Below are 23,277 nucleotides of genomic sequence, written 5' to 3'. Positions count from 1 at the left end.
TATATAAACAGTTTGGACTTCGATGATCTCTGAAAGAATTTCAAGCTTTACAATCCCATGTAACCAAGAAAATAAGTAAGCGCATTCTCTACGGGGCACCTACAAAATTTGCTGGTGTATGTATGGTTTTTGCCAAAATGACACTCAAAACAACATCTTGACTATGATGTGGTGAGAGGAACTCTGGAATCTCAGTGCTTTTTTTTTTTTTAACAGTCTCCTTCAGCTTTTTTTGGCTTCCATTTCTTCACCTATAAAATAAAGAGTTTGAGCAAGATCATCTTCAGCCACCTTTCTTTTTCTGAGGTTTTATAATTTCTGCATTTCTGTGACTATAAAAAGTATGGCCAGGCACTGTGGCTCATGCCTGCAATCCCAACACTTTGGGAGGCTAAGGCAGAAGGATTAGTTGAGCCCAGGAGTTTGAGACCAAGTCTGGGCAACATAGCGAGACCCCCCATCTCTACAAAAAAAATTTGAAAAATTATAAATTGTCCAGATGTGGTGGCTCATGCCTGTAATCCCAGCACTTTGAGAGGCCGAGGTGGGTGGATCACCTGAGGTCAGGAGTTCGAGACCAGCCTGACCAATATGATGAAACGCCATCTGTACTAAAAATACAAAAATTAGCCAGGCATGGTGACATGTGCCTGTAATCCCAGGTACTGGGGAGGCTGAGACAGGAGAATCGCTTAAACCCAGGAGGTGGAGGTTGCAGTGAGCCGAGATTGCACCACTGCCCTCCAGCCTGAGCAACAAGAGTGAAACTCCATATCAAAAAAAAAAAATTAAAAATTAGCCAGGCGTGGTGGCACATGCCTGTTGTCTCAGCTACTTGGGAGATGGAGGCAGGAGGATCACTTGAGCCCAGGAGTTCGAGGTTGCAGTGAGCTATGATCGCACCACTACAGTCCAGCCTGGGCAACAGAGCACGGACCAGTCTCTAAAAAAAAGGGTCTATTTGCCTGGCATGTACTATAAACAAGTTACAAGTTTTCACATCTTTAAAAACAAACAACTACAGAATGACACTTGGAATTTTGGTGAAAGAGGTATAAAATCCTTTTCACCTTAATACATGCTTTTCCATATGGTAAATTTCAGGAGGAAAAAACATATCATTTTGTTATTCATGATCAGATAGATAGATAATGTATAATAGAGGGACTAGAAAAAGGAGTAGTAACTAATATGCCTATGTGACTTAATGTGATTGCCAGTGTCACACCATAAGCCATGTTTTGTATTTGATAAAATGTGGTCTCAATTGATCCAATCCTTGCCCTTATTTTATTTTTCATGCTTTTGAAATTGCACCCAATCCTTAGAACTTGATTTGCTAGAGTCAACATCTCTAAGATTGATTGAAGAGCTTTTATTTTTAACTAAACTGTCAATATTATCCCCAGAAGCACATAATCTTAATTAACATTGAGAAGAATTAATTTCTTAACTTTATTGAAAAATACTAATTAAAAATAGATTAAGAAACAAAAATGCTTGAAACCTATGATTCATATTATTATTTTCCAACAGGGAAAAAAAAAGGATAGGGTAAGCCTTCCCATTCCTTAAAGAGAAAGCATGTGAATACCATTGCTTATCTTAAAGAGAAAAATCTTGTGATAATTAAAAGAAAGGCATATGTAAAAGCACTTAGTACAGTGCCTGGAAGACAGCAGATGTTTGGCAAATGTAATTCTCCTTCTTTCCTTTCTCCTTTCTACAGATGGATTCCTAAACAACCCTCAAGATGATCCTGAATCCTGAGAGTTCTAAGTCCTCCCCACTCTGTCATTCACTTTGGCTCTGCCCTTTTGCTAAAGCCTAACAATATCTCTATGCTTCACATACTCTTACGCTGTTCATTTTATTTCTACTTGTGTCTAAATAGATTAGATGAAAGGCACAAGACATGAGGAGTCAAGATGCAGCATGCTTTAAGGATTCTGCCTTTTACCAGGGTCTATTTTTAAGTTTTGAGCTCTGAGAACATACTGTGTATGGAAGTGAGTAATAATGCTTGTTCAGCTTTCCTCGGTTTGGGACCTTTCCCATCTCCTTCTAGGACAGCAGAGTTTCCAAGCTATAGGTAGAGGTCAACATTCTCTGCGGGGCACCTACAAAATTTGCTATTAGGACCTCTGGGTTTGGGGTACAAACTGGCAGATTTAATGGGCTTCTAACATTCCCTATACCTCAACTATAGCTAAAATTATTGAGTTCCATTCTCTGTCATTGATTTATGCTTTACCAGATTTTTAATGGTAACTAAAACTGTTCAATAATATATTAATACTTAGTCTATTTATATGTAATGATTTATGGAAATGACATATTATATACTTAGTTTATTTATACCCATCATTTTGTCACAAAAAATTGGGGTAGCTTTTATCAAAATATATGATAAATTTATAAGACAGAAAATCAGGGCCAAAGAGAAAAGGTGCCTGCTAGTCAATGTGGTTGTTGTGACTGGGCCTCTCATTTAATTATGACCTCCCTGGCAGCCAAGACCAGCCAAGACCTGGCAGCCAAGACCTCATCAGGGAGGCAGAAGTACACCAGTATCTAGAAGTGAGATAAAACTATACCCTAAATTCTAAATAAAATTATACATGGACTTCACATAGGAGACACAGAACTATTTAACGACTGAACCATCAGTATAGTCACAACAAATTAAGAAGTGGGTTTCAGATGGCAATTTTCGATGGTATAGAACTAAAGAACAACTTTGAAAATGTGTGATATTTCAAAGTGTTCAGACCAGTTCTGAAAGTGTCTGGAAATGCAGTTAGTCCCAGGGGAAAATGTAGGGTGCTTAGAGAAGGGAACAGACTCAATGTCTTGGATAACCCTCCAAGAATGCCACTTCTTACAACTCAACTGCTGAAAGACCATGTAAGAGATCACACTTTTAGACAAAGGTTTAGCAGTCTGGGCTTCTGCACTAGGAAAAATCCTTAAACTTTGAAAATCAAATGAGCAAGCACCAATGTGTTAGGCGCCTATCTCATGCTCCAGCCTGAACTGATGACCATACTGTGTATTAGTGTATAGGAGCATTGTATTAAGAATCTTCACAGGCTGGACGTGATGGCTCACGGCTGTAATCCCAGCACTTTGGGAGGCCGAGGCGGGCGGATCACAAGGTCAGGAGATCGAGACCATCCTGGCTAACATGGTGAAACTCCGTCTCTACTAAAAATACAAAAAAAAAATTTAGCTGGGCATGGTGGCAGGCACCTGTAGTCCCAGCTACTTGGGAAGCTGAGGCAGGAGAATGGCGTGAACCTGGGAGGTGGGGCTTGAAGTGAGCCAAGGTCATGCCACTGCACTCCAGCCTGGGCGACAAAGCAAGTCTCTGTCTCATACGTATGTTAATGGCGGCACTGTTCACAATAGCAAAGACTTGGAACCAACCCAAATGTCCATCAATGATAGACTGGATTAAGAAAATGTAGCACATATACACCATGGAATACTATGCAGCCATAAAAAAGGATAAGTTCATGTCCTTTGTAGGGACATGGATGAAGCTGGAAACCATCATTCTCAGCAAACTATCGCAAGGATGAAAAACCAAACACCGCATGTTCTCACTCATAGGTGGGAATTGAACAATGATGAGAACACTTGGACACAGGAAGGGGAACATCACACACCGGGGCATGTCGTGGTGTGGGGGAGTGGGGAGGGGGGAGGGATAGCATTAGGAGATATACCTAATGTAAATGGCGAGTTAATGGGTGCAGCACACCAACATGGCGCATGTATATATATGTAAAAAACCTGTACGTTGTGCACATGTACCCTAAAACTTAAAGTATAATAAAATAAATAAATAAATAATCTTCACAGTAACTTGACTTTATTTAACAAACTAGGATTGGCTGAGGTATAAGATATTTTCATCAGACTGCGCTTTCCTTACACCTTCCCATTAAAACCCATGTGTCACTTCAACAGGGGGCTTTCCCCACCTCCTGTGCTCAGCTGGGGCTCCCTCATGCATGGTGCTACCTTACCACTCATCATACTTTAGCTATAATTAGGTGTTTAATATTTTTCCTGCCCTCCAGGCAAGAAGAGGACAGGAAACCTATCTGTCATTCTCTTGTTATGATATCACCATGTCTAGAATAGTGCTTGATTTGTTATTTGTCCTCCAACTCATTTGTCAAAGGATTGAATACATGGATAATTTCGCTGCGTTTCAGTTTCGCTTCCTAGATCATTCCATTCATCAGGAGTGAGCTCAGTTGTATGTATGTTGGATGTAATAGGATGTAAACATCATTTAATCTTTAAAGCCATCCCATGAGATAAATATGATTATTATCTCCATTTTACTGATGAGAAAGCTGGGGCACCAAGAGGGTAGATAATTTCCCAGGATCATACTGCTGGTAAGTGGTGCAGCTAGGATTCATTCTTGGGCAGCCTGGCTCAAAATCCACAATCTTCACCTTCAGATAATATGAAATCTATAATAAAATTACCATTAGGGATCTTAACAAATTCTTCTTCTCACACTCAAGAGTGTAGTAGAATCCACCTACTACACTCTTACTGACTTTAATTATTGGTAACAACTTGTTTCAACCTGTGTCTTCTTGATAAAAAGCTAAGATTAGACATCATCTCATTGTTTATTGGCTCATTGTATTTTTAGGAAACTAGAGCATGTGACTAACTAAAGTGTTGCTCTTACAGACTCGGAGGCATGGGGGAAGGTACCAACATCAATTGTCTCTGTTATTAAGGAGATCATGAATTGGTCCTCCTGGCCAGTCCTCTTCGGAGAGGAAAGGGGGCAATGTTACTAATTTTATCAAGATGACAGGCATAAAGCAGGACTGTCCCAGACAAACTGGGAGCAGCGTCACCTTACCTATTTTTTACCATTGCATTAGGCTAGTTTTAGTTCCGAGCTGTGGTGGCTGCAATAGTTTTATTCAGCACATGATGTGGACCACGTTCATTTTGTAACATTCCAGGAATTGCACAACTATGTGTACTGTGTAATTTGTCCCCTCAATTTGTCCTCTTGGGAGACTACACACCTATTCCAATGATGTTGCAATTGTTCAGAATATTTTCTATAATTCTATTTGGCATCTCCTTCTGAACCAGTTAATGGCCTCTTTAAAAAGTCAATATGAATACATCTTGTTAATCTTTTTATTCCACTTAGTCAGCTCCTTGCATGTAGAGACAGTCAATAAATATTTGCTGAACTCAACAAAATGGAATTAGTTTCCAAAGCTTGAAATTACATTCAGAGGACAAAGATTTCTCACTTCTGAGTCTATTCAGTAGGACGAAACTCAGGAAAAAAGACTGGAAATTATAAATATATATCCCCATATATATAAAACACATTAAAAATGCCTGTCTCTGGGTTTTAGGATTCTAATTATGAATTCAGAAAACAATAAGAACAAGACAAAAATTAAAATTTCAGTATGAACATGTATTATTTTTAAATTTAAAAAATTGTGATTTTGCTTTGTCTTTACATATGATGCCTCATACATATTTAATAATTTCAAAGAATTTCTGAAATATGTTACATAATCTTGCCATTTGGGGAATATGTGTACAACTTTCAAAAGTGATTACTTTGAAAGGGACAACACACATTTAGATGAGTACATTCTGTAATGTTTGTTTCAAAAAATAATCCACCGCTTTATAATCATGCTTCTATTTTAGATGTTTTTGTGAATATAAGTCATGACATGGATCCTATGAGGGACATGATTTTAAAAATAAGAGAAATAAACAGATGACACTTAGGGTCAGGGCACACAGCCAGCTGCCTGGGGAGTAGTTTCTAAAGCTGTGCTGTCCTCCAGCCCTGTGAAACCGAGCAGCCACTATGCTTCAATCAATAGTTCTACTTCGTGATAAGCAAGATGGGCCCTCACCTGGCCAGATATGGAGAGACCGAGAACACGCGTTACCATTCCAGCTTTATGGAATAAAATTGAACCATAGAAGTTGCAACAATTTGCCTCCATTGGGAGTGCAGTGAGGGCCTGTTGAGCTTTCAGACCAGAGCCTGGGGGAGGGCATACAGAGAGGACCCACATCAATACACATGTATTTCTGTCAACTGCATAACCAACTAAAACAGCCACACCCTAAACTCAAACTGCCCCATAAACCAAGAGCTAATTAAACACAAACAGAGTTGTTATCACTCACCGCGGGATGGAGTGGTGTATGGTGAGGGTGTTCTGAGTGAGGGTGTCCATGTCAATAATGAGGCTTTCTATGAAGAGAACTTTCTTAAACTTGTTGATGGGAGAACGGGAGGGCGGAGGGGGAGGGCACCGTGGCCGCGGTGATTTAGGTTAAAGGAGGCCATTTTACCCGCTCCTCTTGAGCCAGGGCCCCTGGAAGGGGCCCACATTTAGAGCAGATGTTCCCGTGTGACTGTGTCTGCTGCTTTCTCTGTAGGGGAAGACGGGGCTGGGCTGAAGAGGAGGTGGGCCCATGGGAAGCCAACGCTGGTTCCCCTCTGGCAGTGGAAAGGAGAAGCGTGCTGCCCGTTGTCAAAAAAACATTGTAAAGTACCTGTTTATGTGCTGAAGTAATTTCTAATTACGTGGTCTGGTGTGGTTAGAAGAGGGAGCTCAGCCCCAGGACAGTGGCCATCCTGTTCTTTCTGCCCTGAGCCTCCTCGTGTGACTGACGGGCTGCGAGTCACCTCACCTCCTCCCTTCTCCAAGCTCCCAGCTCTATGATTTGGCTAAAACTTCACATTCATTCAGTCCTTAGCATCCGGCATTCTCAAGCCCCTGAAAACTTTAGACTAATTAATAGCATCCATTTGAGGCTGGAAATCATTATTATAAAGATCATGATGCCTTTAGTTGATGGTACACAGAGTTTAAGTCGTTTCCTGCCAAGGGCCAGAATCCCTAAATGCTGGTGAGAGCTAATCTTGGGCTATCACCACTCAATTCCACACCCTCCTAGACCACACCAGGGACTTCACAGGGTGCTCTGAGGATACAGGAGTGTTTATTCAGCCTTTGGGACAACGGTGTTGGAGAAATACAAAGCATTTCTAATACAGATGGGGGTTTATTTTCTCAAAGCCACACAAGCATTCTTGAACCCTCAGCTTGCTGGGTAGAGCTCCTTCCTGGGCATCTGCTCTCCACTGGAGACGTCACAAGTACAGGCTGTTGGTAGTAGGATGAATTACTGCTACTTAGTTTGGTTTGTCAATTTTCCTCTGAAAAAAATCACAACGTACTCCTTGAAAAAATAAACTTTAAATAATCAAAAAGTACATCGAATCCAGAGTGACAGTGGAAAGAACAATGCTTCCTCAACATTTATCCTATACCCACCCCCAGGGGCTTCCAATTAGACTTACCAGTGCCAAACACTCTCCAGCTTCTTCTTCGTCCTTCCAAGCAATAGCACAATTAAAATTAATATTTGGAAGGGCAGAAAGCACAGTGTGACTGGCAACTCCATTATTTTCTAGCTACGTAATTTGGCCAAGTTCTTTAAGCCTCTCTAAGCTTCAGTTTTCTCATCTATAAAATGGAAATAATTATAAAACCTACTTCTCAGGGATATTTTGAAGATTAAATAAGATACTCACTTTGTACAATTAAATAATGTTCACCATTAGTTTTAAGAATACATATACTCCTTTTTTTGACAAAATAGAATCATTCCAGGCATGGGTTTTGCAAAGTGGCTATTTTTTATCCAACCTTCTGCCATGCCCAAAAGGATTTTCCCCCATGTTAGTTTGTAAAGATGGTGTAATATTCAGAGTATTAGCAACCAGCCTGACCCAGATCCTGAGCAGGCAGTAAGAATGCACTGAATAATTTGAACAGATGCCAAGCAAAATTAGCAGATGGGTACCACTGAATATCAGCAATGTCTAGACAGCCGCCTTATTCTCTTTTATTTTAATCACCTCTTTAATTTCTTTAGAACATTCCATCATTTCAATAGTATTTTTTAAAAACATGCTTATATATACTTGATTTCTTGCTTAATGGCTTTGTGTCAAAAAACATGCTCTATATGACTTCTATCCTTTGGAGTTGGTTCAGAATTATTCTTGGTCCAGTACAGTGTCAAATTTTTTGAAAATGTTCCATGTGTATTTTGAAAGAATGCACATTCTGCAATTGTTGAATCCATGTTTTTATATGGCATAAAATCAAGTGTTTTAAACTGTGTTTTCCAAATTTCCGCGACTCCACTAGGTTTTGTTGTTTGTTCTGTTGATTATGGAAAGCAGTATATTAGAAATGCGTCATTGGAATTGTTGATTCTAGACCAATGGAACAGAGCCCTCAGAAATAATGCCACATATCTACAACTATCTGATCTTTGACAAACCAGACAAAAACAAGAAATGGGGAAAGGATTCCCTATTTAATAAATGGTGCTGGGAAAACTGGCTAGCCATGTGTAGAAAGCTGAAACTGGATCCCTTCCTTACACCTCATATAAAATTAATTCAAGATGGATTAAAGACTTAAATGTTAGACCTAAAACCATAAAAACCCTAGAAGAAAATCTAGGCAATACCATTCAGGACATAGGCATGGGCAAGGACTTCATGTCTAAACCACCAAAAGCAATGGCAACAAAAGCCAGAATTGACAAGTGGGATCTAATTAAACTAAAGAGCTTCTGCTCAGCAAAAGAAACTACCATCAGAGTGAACAGGCAACCTACAGAATGGGAGAATATTTTTGCAATCTACTCATCTGACAAAGGGCTAATATCCAGAATCTACAATGAACTCAAACAAATTTACAAGAAAAAAAACAAACAACCCCATCAACAAGTGGGCAAAGGATATGAACAGACACTTCTCAAAAGAAGATATTTATGCAGCCAAAAGACACATGAAAAAATGCACATCATCACTGGCCATCAGAGAACTGCAAATCAAAACCACAATGAGATGCCATCTCACACCAGTTAGAATGGCAATCATTAAAAAGTCAGGAAACAACAGGTGCTGGAGAGGATGTGGAGAAATAGGAACACTTTTACACTGTTGATGGGACTGTAAACTAGTTCAGCCATTGTGGAAGTCAGTGTGGCGATTCCTCAGGGATCTAGAACTAGAAATACCATTTGACCCAGCAATCCCATTACTGGGTATATACCCAAAGGATTATAAATCATGCTGCTATAAAGACACATGCACATGTATGTTTACTGCAGCACTATTCACAATAGCAAAGACTTGGAACCAACCCAAATGTCCAACAATGATAGACTGGATTAGGAAAATGTGGCACATATACACCCTGGAATACTATGCAGCCATAAAAAATGATGAGTTCATGTCCTTTGTAGGGACATGGATGAAGCTGGAAACCATCATTCTCAGCAAACTATCACGAGGACAAAAAACCAAACACCACATGTTCTCACTCATAGGTGGGAATTGAACAATGGGAGCACATGGACACAGGAAGGGGAACATCACACACCAGGGCCTGTTGTGGGGTGGGGGGAGGGGGGAGGGATAGCATTAGGAGAGATACCTAATGTAAACGATGAGTTGACGGGTGCAGCACACCAGCATGGCACATGTATACATACGTAACAAACCTGCATGTTGTGCACATGTACCCTAAAACTTAAAATAAAAAAAAAAATAAAAAAAAAATTAAGCCTAAGGCCAGCTGAGAAAAAAAAAAAGAGTTGTTGATTCTTCAATTTCTCCTTGTTTGTTTTGTCAGTTTCAGTGGAGGCTGTACTAAATGATTTCCAATTATCCTCACAGTTCTAATACAGGCAAAGTCTACTACTATCTCCTTATACATTATGTGGTTCAGTTTTGCCTCCATCGTGGTACATGAACTATGATAGTATCAATTTTTTTAAGATGGTTAAACTTTTTTTAAAAAAACCTGATAAGCTATTCACTTATTTCATGTGTATCTTTAAAAAATAGCCAGCCTGGGCACACAGCAAAACCCCATCTCTACGAAAAAATACAAAAATTAACAGGGCCTGGTGGCATACCCCTGTATTCCCAGCTACTCAGGAGGCTGAAGTGGGAGGGTCGCTTGAGCCTGTGAGGCAGAGGTTTGCAATGAACCGTGATCGCACCACTGTACTCCAGCCTGGGAGACAGAACAAGGCCCTGTCTTTAAAAAATTAAAAAATAAAATTAAAATTAAAAAATAGAAAACAAGTTGAAGATGTCATGGGTTTATTGCTTGAAATGAAACTAAAATTAGCTATTTAAGTTCTTAAAAGAGAGTCAACTTAAAGGAAAGTAATTCATGAATAAAGTTAACAGATTATACTACATTATGTGAATGTAGTTCACAAAAGACTAAGATTTAAGAGACCTTGAACTAGGTAATAAATTAAAGAAAACCTCTTACACAACAAGAAGCATGTATTTAAATTGCTGTGCACCCTGTGGGCAGACAGTAACTAGAGTGATGTTTCTTTATAATGCTACAATAGGAGTTGGGACTAATGCTGGCATTATATACTAATAATGGTTTTTAAGGGTTCTGAGTTATTTATACCCTGCTTTTTTGTTGAAACAATTTCAAGTGTTATCTAGGTGTATTTAATGTATTGCTCTTCCAAAACCACTATGTTTCGATTGTTGATTTCTGGTTAAACCTGTGCACTTTACTTCTTTACCTCTTACTTTTGGACTATTTCACCAGCTTTTAGGTGAATAAAATAAGTGAGGGGGCGGTTGAAGTTTTGATTTGGGATTATTTGTGGGAATGTTAGTTTACCCTTCCTGAGGCCACTAACAGAGGTAATAGAGGATTTCCAATAGTTTGATCAGTTAAAAAACTGACAGAATTTGGGCTACAATTCTCCAACAGTAACATGGTTTATATCTATGTAGTCTTTAAATGTTGCAAAGCACTTTCACAGATACTGTTTAATGTAATCTTCACACGACCTTGTGAAGAGTGTGGTTATACAATGTATGAGGGAACCCTAGGAAGATTGTAATTAAGAGTTTTTACAGTTAGAGAATTGTCTTTTAGGACATTTGAAAGCAGCTGGTGTATTTCAGGAGAAAATGGATTTATCTTCAGATATAGCCTTCTTTTGTCCAGGGAGAGATCGCTATGGAGCTGATGGAGGGCAGTACATTATAGACAGTTCTTTAGAAAGCTTTTTGGACTGAAATGTTAAGAATTTGGTTTCATAATGTAAAGCAAGTCTATTAGCAAGACCATGAATCCAAAGATTTAGACAACTTTTAAAATTTGTTTTAAGTTTCCTTATGCTGAAAAATCGTATTTATTGTTGGAGAGACTGTCTATGGTCTTGCCTCAACACTAGCTCATAGGAAAGGGGTGATTGACTGATGGTCAAAAGGAATGGACAAAGTTCACCTTCTCTTTCACATCATCTATGATGTACTATGAAATGTACTATTCCTAGGTGTGAGGAGTGTTGGCTAAACCAATGATTTCTCAAATATGGTGTCAGTAAGGGCTTAATAACCCAGACATCAGACTTTGGGATATATACTGTGAACTACTGTGATATCCGTGTCTATGGCATGTGAGCCAGGACGCATCTTGAAGATGGGGGTTGGCATTTTCTTGAAGAACATAGATGTCCCTATCATGATTCATCCTGGGGAAGGAAATGAAGCATGAGGTGATGAGTCTTGAATATGCCCATTTTTAGGAGCTGAGCTGGCTTCACTTCTCATGGAAGCTTGATAGGAGCTGTATAAATAATCAGGGTTTGGGTCTGGAAACTTCTGGGAGCAAATACAAGTGAAGGTGGGTTCACCATAAAACTAATGAAGTTTAATTTCCAGCATTCTTTACTTTGTAGGCCCCTTTCAAAGATCTTGGGAGGGGGCTTAACAATGTGTGTACATGGTCATGTGTTTTTAAATTTGCAAGGTAAGATATGTTTGTATTCTTTTTCTTACAGAAAGCCCCCAAATTATATAAACATTATTCCCCACAGAATCTGGATCTGTTTTTGTTCTAACGTAATTGATGTTATACTTTTGTTATCTCCAAGCCTTTGAAACCGTTCTGCTAAATATTGTGGCCTTATCTCACCTGTTCTTTGGAGGAATTGAAGGGGACTGGGTGTACACTTTGCATGAAATGGTGCTGGGTTATGGCAATATCCTGGAGAAGCTGGTTATGAAATGAAGTAAGTTGACTAGCAAAGAGTGGAACAGAGGTCTGGAATGACTGTTAGGAGTCAGAAGACTGTGGCAGTACAAGAAAAAGTGTGGGCCAATGCAGGAGCATGCCTAGAACGAGCATGCTCACCACAACCTCCATATATATTAAAGGCAAGGAAACCTTGAAAGAAGATCCTTAACACCACTATTTATGTGTGGCCATCTCGAGTCATATTCATTTTAGAGATTAGAAGAACTAAAGAGAACAGAGACGGAGCAAACAACCTGAACAAGACTATTAAGCTAGCTATCAGAATTAACAGGAATAGAGCCCAAGTCTCCCTGATTTCATGGTCAGTTTCAGTCATCCTGAAACTGGTACCTTTCAGGTTATAAGGTTATACGTTCCTATCTAGGAAAATTGAGCAAAAGGGGAAAAGAGCAACTTTAAACTCATTTTTGTTGCTGTTGTAGTGACATATCTACCTGTTTACATGAAGTGATTGATAATACCCCAGAATTCTTGGGAGGTTAGCCCAGGAAATTTCAACAAATTTCAAACTAGACTTTGTAGTCAAAGCTCTGTTACTATGTGTCGCTCTCTGGTTCCATTTATAAGAATTCCAAAAGGGGAGAAAACTAATCTGTGGTGACAGAAATCAGAAAGTAATTGAGGAGGGGACAGGGGAGTTGATGGGAAAAGGGGCACAAGGGAACTTAGTTGTTCTAGATCTTATTACTGTCAAACCTCCTCAAACTGAATACCTAGGAACTGTGCCTTTCATTATACTTAATTAAACTTTAATACAAATATAAAAATAAATTAAGACTAACAAAAACACCCATAAAAATAAAAAATTATATTAAATTTAAACTCTGTTACTCTGCAGTGGCATGGGTAAAGACTCTCAAGATTCAAGGAGGTAAGATTTTCTGTTCTTCCTGTCGCAAGGGAAAATGTTTCCCCACGTTACTACGTGTCACATATCTGTCTCGCTTTTATCTCTCACTGTCACTAGAGAACATAGAGAACAATGCCATTGGCAGACACAAAATGATTATCAAGCAAAACAATATTATTACTAGAAAAACTGGCAAATGTTTTCAGCAAAATCTTTTCCCAATTATGGGGTTGAATTTCCTTTCTCTCTATCTTCTCTAATCTTCCAGTGTTTTTGCTGTGGATTTTTATTTTTTTTTTTATTTTTTTTTTTGAATCCCCTTTTTTTTTCTTTTTTTTTATTATACTTTAAGTTTTAGGGTACATGTGCACATTGTGCAGGTTAGTTACATATGTATACATGTGCCATGCTGGTGCGCTGCACCCACTAACTCGTCATCCAGCACTAGGTATATCTCCCAATGCTATCCCTCCCCCCTCCCCCCACCCCACCACAGTCCCCAGAGTGTGATGTTCCCCTTCCTGTGTCCATGTGATCTAATTGTTCAATTCCCACCTATGAGTGAGAATATGCGGTGTTTGGTTTTTTGTTCTTGCGATAGTTTACTGAGAATGATGATTTCCAATTTCATCCATGTCCCTACCAAGGACATGAACTCATCATTTTTTATGACTGCGTAGTATTCCATGGTGTATATGTGCCACATTTTCTTAATCCAGTCTATCATTGTTGGACATTTGGGTTGGTTCCGCTGTGGATTTTTACAAACAAACTCTAGTATGACCTTGTAATTCTAGGTGCCACATGTCTCTGTTCTTCAGTGCTCTGGCTAAACAGGGTTAATTCCAAGTAAATACAAACTTGGTTTCTTTTACTTTATTTTTGAAAACTTTTATACTAACTACCTTTTTGATATATTTTTAAATAAATGTATATATTTTTCTGATTCTAAAGAAAATATACCCTTGATATAAATAAATAAATATAAATATCCCAAAGATAGCCACTATTCACATTTTAGTGTATGGTAGCTCCCCCTTATCCGTGAGGGATATGTTTAAAGATCCCCAGTAGGTGGCTGAAATCACTGATAGTACCGCTGATAGTGCTGAAACCCTATATATGCTATGATTTTTCCTATACATAGATAGCTGTGATAAAGTTTGATTTATAAGTTAAGCACAGTAACAGATTAATATAATTACTAATAATAAAATAGAACAATTATAGTATACTGTAATAAAAGTTATGTCAATGTGCTCTCTCACTCTCTCAAGGTATCCTAGTATTGTCAGACCACGGTTGACTGCAGGTAACTGAAATTATGGAAAGTCAATCTATGAATGCAGCGGGACTACTGTAATTTTCTCTTTTGTCATGTTCCATAGTTGAGATCATGCTGCATACTCAATTTTTTTTCACCTTTTAGAACAAAACATCATGGTATAAGAATTTTCTGATACTGTTGGAATTACTTTCTAACATGGGATTGGCTTGCTAATTATTGGCCTTTTATTTTCAAATGATCAACTTTCCATTGATAATTATTTTCTTGTTATAGAAGTTAATAAATCAGTCTGTCAATAGAATTTTTTGAAGTTTCATGTTAATCAAAATTATATAACATTTTTCAAAAGTAACAGGTCGACTGTAAGCAACTTGAGGGCAGGGATAATACTCCCTCCATCTTTGCATTCTCCACAGTGTCAGCCCAGAACGGGAACTAAATAAGCACTCGTAGCTTGAATGAATAAACAAGCAGCTCCCACTTGGATAGTATTTCCACACATCAGGACTTGAGAGGTAAGTGGGTAGAGCTCGGTGCCTATTACTTATCTTCTGGAATTAACATGGATTGTGCTGAGAACTCAAGCAAAAATAAAATAACTTTTAGACTACTTCTCTCCTACTCTGGATTTGTAAGCCACCCTTTAACAACAGCATGGACCATATATATATAGACACTGCTCAGCAAGCTCTAGTTAAAACTTTTAGATGCCCTAGCCATAGATGTTCTAGTTTTTTTTAACTGATTATCACTGAATATAATTTGGAATTGCATGTTTTGTGATGCCTCTTTTTAACATTCACTTGAATATCAGAGAGGCCTTATACAACAGAAATTCAGGATATTTTAGAGAATTTTTTTATTCATAGAATTAATGAATTCTAAAAAGTTTAAAATCATAGAAAGCCTAAGTAATCATCGATTTCGAGGTCATTTTTAAAGAAGAGGGAGGTAGCCAATTGATTTTCCAAGGCATTGGGCTAGGCAGGAGTGATGTAGCAGTATTGTCAGTTCCATTTTATATTTTTTATGTGACAACATACTGCCTCCCGTGGGTCTAAGATTTATTAGAAACAATTCATGTCTAGCAAATATCATTTTCATTTTTGACAAGATTACTCCAAACATCAGGGAGATGTGCTTAAGCAGGACATTTGACAAGGTATTTTATATCTTTGTGCTTACATAGGAGTAATATAAGCTAGATGCTGGGATAATTATTATTGTGTTTTTAGTGATTCATTTTACTTTTTGGCCTTGTGAAAAATGACAGACAATAAATATGCAAAAAGCATAAATGTATAGCTTAATGATTTATTATAAGACTAACAGAAGTGTTATCACCAACCAGATCAAGGAATAAAACATTGTCAATGCCCTAGAAACCTACCCCCTAGGTGCTCATCCATAAACACAAATCTCATTCTCCCCTCTAAATATAACCATTATCCCAACATATTTCTTGCTTTTCTTTGTAATGTTAGGGACTTATCCCTAAACATTATAGATTACTTTTGTCTGTTTTCAAAATTGATTTAAATGGAATGAAAAAGTGTGTATAATTTTATATCTGGTATATTTTGTTCAACATTATATTCAAGATCTATCTAAGACCATGGCTATATCTACAGTTTATTTCCTTTATAAAATTCCATTACTTGAGAATTCCACAATATTTTTAAATTCATTTTCTGTATTCATTTTACTATTAAGTGATATTTGGGTTATTTCTGAACTTGGTCTATTATAAATAATGACTGGGGCTTTTTTCCATGCATCCTAGCATACATATGTACCCATTTCTGCTGGGTATATACTTAGGAGCAGAACTGTTGTATTATAATGTATCTGCATCTCCAACTTTAACAGGTAAATCTCAGAGTTTTCCAAAGTGGTTGCACCAATTTGTACTACCACTAGTTACATATGAGCTTTCATTGATCTATATCTTTACTAAAATGTGGTATTGTTGGGGTTTTTAAATTATTGTCAGTCTGGTTTGCATGTATCTTGCAGTTTCTATTTGTATCTATCTGGTTACTAGTGGGGTTGAATAACTTTTCATAGATTTATTAGCTATTTTTCTTTCCTCTTATGATGTACCTGCTCAAAACTTTTGTCTATTTTTCAATCAGTTTTTCTAGCATTCTTTATATATCCTGGTATGATATTTACTGATTATATGCAATGAAAATATTGAAATTTTTTTCTGCCACTCTTTGGCTTGCCTTTTCAGCCCTGAATAGTTTTCTTGGTAAACAGAAGTTTTTAATTTTAATGTAGTCAGATTTAGTCATTTTTCCCTTCAAGGTTAGTACTTTCTTGCATCCTATTTAAGAAATCTCTTACTCGAATGCAATGAAAATATTCTTTGGAATTAATTTCTAAAACTTTATTGTTTTATCGATCACAGTTAGATCTAAAATTTATCTATCACAGTTAGATCTAAAAATTTGATTTTTGTGAATGATGTTATATAGGGTTAAATTTCCTTTTTTCCATAGGAATGCTCATTGGTCTCTGCATCACTATTGAAAAGACTGTGCTTTTTGTAACCCTCTACAGTGCAACTTCTTTCATAAGTCCCTTCATATGGGTCTCTTCTGTAGCTCTTTTTGCTCAAATGATCTCATCCTCTCTTCTGACAATGCCATAAAAGGTATTAAAGCTTTATAGCACATCCTTATATATGGTAGAACAAGTCTTTCTTTTTTCTTCTCCGCAAGTTCATTGGTTTTCTGGCCATAATGCAGCATCAGGGATTAGATTTATTGGTTGATTAATATATTAGAAAAGGAAATAAAATAAAAAACTATTCAATTAATCCAACAGAAAGCAGAAAAAAGGTAAATAATAACAAATGAGACAAAGAACAAAATGGCATCTATTAAAATATAAAAATTCTATAGCTAACATATACATAATGGTAAAAACTGAATACTTTCCCTCTCATAGCAGGAACAAAGCAAGAATGTCTACTCTGGTTGGCATTGTACTGGAGGATCTAGCCAATGCAATAAGGAGAGAAAAAGAAATGAAATGTATACAACTCAGGGGGGAAGATGTAAAACAATCTTTAGTCACGGCATGATCTTATGTAGAAAATCCTTTGGAATATACAAAAAGAGTAATTGGTCTACTAATTCATAACAAAGTTGCAGGCTACAAAAAAAGTACACTGCATTTGTATACATAATTTCAAATTAAACTGTAAATTTAAATTGAAGTTCTAGCTTTAAATTAGAAATTGAAAGTTTAAAAAAATATTTACAAGAGCATTAAAAACACAAAACTCTTAGGAATTAACCTGACTAAAGGAATGCAGGACCTGTATACTGAAAACTACAAGTAACATTGAAAGAAATTAGGCAAGTCATGATGGCTCATGCCTGTAATCCCAGCACTTTGGGAGGCCGAGGCAGGTGGATCACTTGAGGCTAAGAGTTTGAGAACAGCCTTGGCAAAATAGTGAGACCCTGTCTCTACTAAAATTTTAAATTAAGAAAATTTTCTCTTTTCATCTGGGCTCATTTAAAAAAATGTCGAGAGAAATTTAGAAAGACCTAAATAAATCTATTGAGATAATCACGTGGTTTTTGTCGTTGGTTCTGTTTATATGCTGGATTATGTTTATTGATTTGCGTATGTTGAACCAGCCTTGCATCCCGGGGATGAAGCCCACTTGATCACGGTGGATAAGCTTTTTGAGGTGCTGCTGGATTCGGTTTGCCAGTATTTTATTGAGGATTTTTGCATTGATGTTCATCAGGGATATTGGTCTAAAATTCTCTTTTTTTGTTGTGTCTCTGCCAGGCTTTGGTATCAGGATGATGCTGATCTCATAAAATGAGTTAGGGAGCATTCCCTCTTTTTCTATTGATTGAAATAGTTTCAGAAGGAATGGTACCAGCTCCTCCTTGTACCTCTGGTAGAAATGATGAGATATACTGTTTTGTGGATAAGAAGAATCAAATTAAAATTTCACTTCTCCTCAATATTTATAGATATTTAAATATAATCTCAATCAAAGTCTGAGCAGTCTTTTGTGTGGAAATTGACAAGGTGATGTTAAGGGTGATGGATGCACCAAAATCTCACAAATCACCACTAAAGAACTTAATCATGTAACCAAACACTACCTGTTCCCCAATAACCTATGCAAATAAAAAAATTTTTTAAAAAGAATCTAGCAAAAATTATTTTGAAAAAGAACAACAAGCTTGGGAGACTTACACTGCCTAACTTCAAGACTTGTTTTAAAGCTACAATGGTAAGACAGTGTGGCATTGGCATCAAGATAGAAAAATAGATCAATTACGTAGGATGGAGGGCCTGGATATACAGCCACACATATACGGTCAATTAATTTTTTAAAAAGGTGCAAAGGCAATGCAGGGTCAAAATGATCAAAAAATCATGTTGGAACAAGTGGATATCCATCCATAAGCAACGAAAAAAAAAAGAACTTTTATTCATACCTTTTGCCAAATACAAAAATCAACTCAAAATGAAGCACAAATATAAAACAAACCACAAAGCTATAAAACTTCTAGGAGAAAATATTTGGTTAGACGAAGATTTCTTAAACCATTTAAACATGAATTCAGCGTGCTACGTAAAGCATGTATGATACATAAGACCTAAAATTTCAGAATTATAAAATGAACTTTTAGCAAAATTAAGATCTTTTGCTTTTTGAAATAATTAAGAAAATGAAAAGGCAAACCACAAACTGGAAAAATATTTGCAAAACATATATCTGACAAAGGACGTGTATTCCAATTACATAAAGAACTCAACAATTCAATAATAAGTCAACTCAATAAAAAATATGAAAACGTTTTGAACAGATACATCAAAAGAAGTATACAAGTGGCCAATAAAACATAAAGATTATTAACATGATAAGTCACTAAGGAAATGCAAATTAAAACCACAATGAAATACTGCAGAAACCCATGAGAATGGCTAAAATTAGAAACACTGGCAATATCAAGTGTTAACAGGGATATGGAGCAATTCCAACTCTCATACATTGCTGGTGGAAATGCAAAGTGGTACATCCACTTTGGAAAATAGTTCACCAATCCCACATCAAAATGTTTTTTCCAGGAGAAATGAAAACATATGTCCCCAAAAAGGCCTGTATGTGAATGTTCGCAGAAGCATTATTCATAATAGCTGAAAAACTGAAAAATACTCAATTGTCCATCAACTAGTGAATGAATAAATAAATGTTGGATATTTGTTTATTACCCTGCAATTTTAAAATGACTTATTAATATATGCAACAGTGCAGATGAATCTCAAAACATTATCTATGTGAAATAAGACAAATATAAGAGACTCCTGATTATATAACTCCATGTATGTGAAACTCTAGAATAGACAAAACTGTAATGGTATAAAACAAAACATTGATTGTCTGGGGATAGGTATTTGGGGGGAATGATTTCAAGGGACAGAGGGAACTTTTTGTGGTGATAGAAATATTCTGTATTTTGGCAGGGTACGTTGGCTCATGCCTGTAATCTCAACACTTTGGGAGGTGAAGGCAGGCGGATCACCTGAGGTCAGGAGTTTGAGACCAGCCTGGCCAACATGGTGAAATCCCATCTCTACAAAAAATACAAAATAATTAACCAGGCATGGTAGCACACACCTGTAATCTCAACTACTCTGGAGGCTAAGGCAGGAGAATTGCTTGAACCAGGGAGGCAGAAGTTGCAGCGAGCCAAGACCGCACTACTGCACTCCAGTCTAGGCAACAGAGTGAGACTCTGTCTCAAAAAAAAAAAAACAAAACTATATTTTGATTGTGGTAGCTTACATGATTGTATGTAATTGCCAACATTCATCAACTCTGTACCTAAAATGGGTAAACTTTGTTATTTGTAAGTTATTCCTTAATAAACATGGGGGGAAATAAAGAAAGATACTTTCTCAAAAGAATACAAAGGATGGCTTTTACCAATACTTCAAAATTGTTTGATATTTATTTTAGCAAACATGTTACTTCTATTATTTTTATAAAAACTGATACAATGGTTATACAAAGAATAAAATTTTTAAATTATTAGCTCCCCAGCAAAAATTTCAGAAAAGACCACATCTGTTCTTTGGTGATGAAAGAAAGAGAAAAAAGGAGGAGGACAAGGGAAGAAGGGAGGGATACCCCAAGCTCAGCCATCTCCTTCCCTTAATGAGGAGTGCTCTAAACAGATTTACAAAGGTGGGAATTATTTGCTTACATAGTATTTACTATATCTGAAATATTCAGTGCTCTTCAATCTAGCTCTTCAATGCTAGAATCTGAAAAATTCAGCTCAATTCAATAGTATATGTTAAACACCTACTATTTTTCCAGCCTTGTAGTAGGTGTTATGATGGATGCAGAAGAGATGGTCTAAGTCAGAATAAAACTATTTAGAACTTACTTGTTAAATTTCTGTATTTATGCTTTGAGATATATTAGAATTACTCTATTTCAGATTTTATTATTATTCCTCCAGAAAAGAGACAACTAAATTTCTCCTGAAAACATTTAGCCTAACAGAAGTTAATCCTTAATCCAACCCAGAATTTTAAAAATAAAACTGAGCCATAACATACTCAATAAGCCATTTTAAATATTTAGGTCATCCAGGACTCATTCACTGACTGACACTAAGAATGGGTCACTGTGGTTCGCCAAAGACTGAATTGTTAGACTGATCTCACAATAATTTGGGGGTATCTTGATCATTCTTAGGATTGAGTCTGCTCAGCATAATCATCTATACCTAATTGTATAAAATTCTCAGAAATTTTTCTTCAAGTATATCTCAGAATATCAATGCAAAAACAGACAGAAGTAAAGCTGTGATCGTTGTAGGTGTGCAATCTTATTCCTGGGTTCTCTATTCTGTTCCATGTGTCTGTCCTTCTACCAGTACCAGTACCATGCTGTTTTGGTTACTGTGACCCTGTAGTGTAGTTTGAAGTACGTTAGCATGATGCCTCCAGCTTTGTTCTTTTTGCCTAGGATTGCCTTGGCTATTTGGGCTCTTTTTTGGTTCCATATGAATTTTTAAATCTTTGACAAACCTGACAAAGACACACAATGGGGAAAGGATTCCCTATTTAACAAATGGTGCTGGAAGAACTGGCTAGCCATATGCAGAAAATCGAAACTGGACCCTTTCTTTACACCATATACAAAAGTCAACTCAAGATGAATTAAAGACTTAAATGTAAAACCCAAAACTATAAAAACCTTAGAAGAAAACCTAGGCAATACCATTTAGGACACAGACATGGACAAAGATTTGACGATGAAGACACCAAAAGCAATTGCAACAAAACTAAAAATTAACAAATGGGATCTAATTAAACTAAAGAGCTCTTCACAGCAAAAGAAACTATCAACAGAGTAAACAGACAACCTACAGAATGGGAGAAAAATTTTGCAAACTATGCCTCTAACAAAGGTCTAATATCCAGCGTCTAGAAGGAACTTAAATTTACAAGAAATATAAAACTACACCATTAAAAAGTGGGCAAAGGACATGAACAGACACTTTTCAAAAGAAGACATACATGCAGCCAACAATCATATGAAAAAAAAGCTCAACATCACTGATCATTAGAGAAATGCAAATCAAAACCACAATGAGATACCATCTCACACTTGTCAGAATGGTTATTAGTAAACAATAAAAAAAACAGATGCTGATGTGGTTGTGGAGAAAAAGGAACCCTTTTACACTGTTGGTGGGAGTGTAAATTAGTTCAGCCATTGTGCAAGAGCGTGGTGATTCCTCAAAGATCTAAAGACAGAAATATCATTTGACTCAGCAGTCCTATTACTGGGTATATACCCCAAGGAATGTAAATCATTCTATTATAAAGACACATGCACTCATATGTTCGTTGCAGCATTATTCACAATATCAAAAACATGTAATCAACATAAATGCCCATCAGTGATAGACTGGATAAAGAAAATGTGGTACATATACACCATGGAATAGTATAAAGCCATAAAAAAGAACAAGATCATGTCTTTTGCAGGGACATGGATGGAGCTGGAGGCCATTACCCTTACTTAGCAAACTAATGCAGGAACAGGAAACCAAATACTGCATGTTCTCACTTCTAAGTGGGAGCTAAACGATGACAACACACGGACACATAGAGAGGAGCAAAATACTGGGGTGTATTAGAGAGTGGAGGGTGGCAGGAGGGAGACGGTTGGGCAAAATAACTAATGGTTACTAGGCTTAATACCTGGGTGATGAAATAATCTGTACAACAAACCCTCATGACACACGTTTACCTCGGTAACAAAACTGCACATCCTGCACTGTACCGCTGAACTTAAAAGTTAAAAAAGAAAATTGCTAAATAGAAAAAAAAGAAGTAAAGCTCCTCTAATTGATACATGGGGCCTTCAAAAAAAACTGTTCCACCATCCCTCCACCACAACCCATTGCCCTTGAGTTATCTCCAGGGAACCCTTGGGATCCAGGGAGACCTGAAATGGTTCACTAAAAATGAGTACTTTGCATCAGAAATAGGTAACTAAACCACTAAAACAAAAACTAACCTTAATTTAGAAAACTTAGTTGGTTCCTTTTCTCATTTTTGGTGCCAAGAGCAGTGCCTGACTCCTGGTGGGTAATCTATAATGACTTGCATAACTATCTGTATAACCTAGGGATCTTTAGAAGTAAGCGTCTAGGGGAAAGTCTCTAAGGAAATAAAGTCCACTTGGGAAGGATTTTTTGGTCTCTCTGACTATTTCTTACTCTAAGGAACATTTGTAGTCAATTACCCTAAATCCCTGATTAGTCTACGAATTATATCACATGGTATAGAACCTTGTATCATGGATCATTAATTACATGGCTCACATGTCACGAGGCAGGCAACTACTATGCTCCATA

The 23,277-nt window shown here is 37.1% G+C and overlaps 1 long non-coding RNA gene across 1 annotated transcript in view, besides 1 other annotated feature; it reads left to right on the top strand.

Moving 5' to 3' along the window:
• Positions 6,562-7,062: an enhancer, noted in NCBI's record as "H3K27ac hESC enhancer chr5:32933642-32934142 (GRCh37/hg19 assembly coordinates)". NCBI's record gives its function as "activates a minimal SCP1, AML or CMV promoter by ChIP-STARR-seq in primed H9 embryonic stem cells {active_cell/tissue: H9 hESC(primed)}" and the evidence as "EXISTENCE:reporter gene assay evidence [ECO:0000049][PMID:30033119]".
• LOC124900955 (uncharacterized) overlaps positions 14,772-23,277 on the top strand; it is a 37,880-nt gene continuing 29,374 nt past the window's right edge. Inside the window, exon 1 of the long non-coding RNA XR_007058723.1 lies at positions 14,772-14,865. This is a non-coding gene — a long non-coding RNA (uncharacterized LOC124900955). The remainder of the gene's footprint in view (positions 14,866-23,277) is intronic.

The sequence above is a fragment of the Homo sapiens genome, chromosome 5 (genome assembly GCF_000001405.40).
Source record: "Homo sapiens chromosome 5, GRCh38.p14 Primary Assembly".
NCBI classification, from domain to species: Eukaryota; Metazoa; Chordata; class Mammalia; order Primates; family Hominidae; genus Homo; species Homo sapiens.
This window is presented reverse-complemented; position numbering and strand designations above follow the sequence as displayed.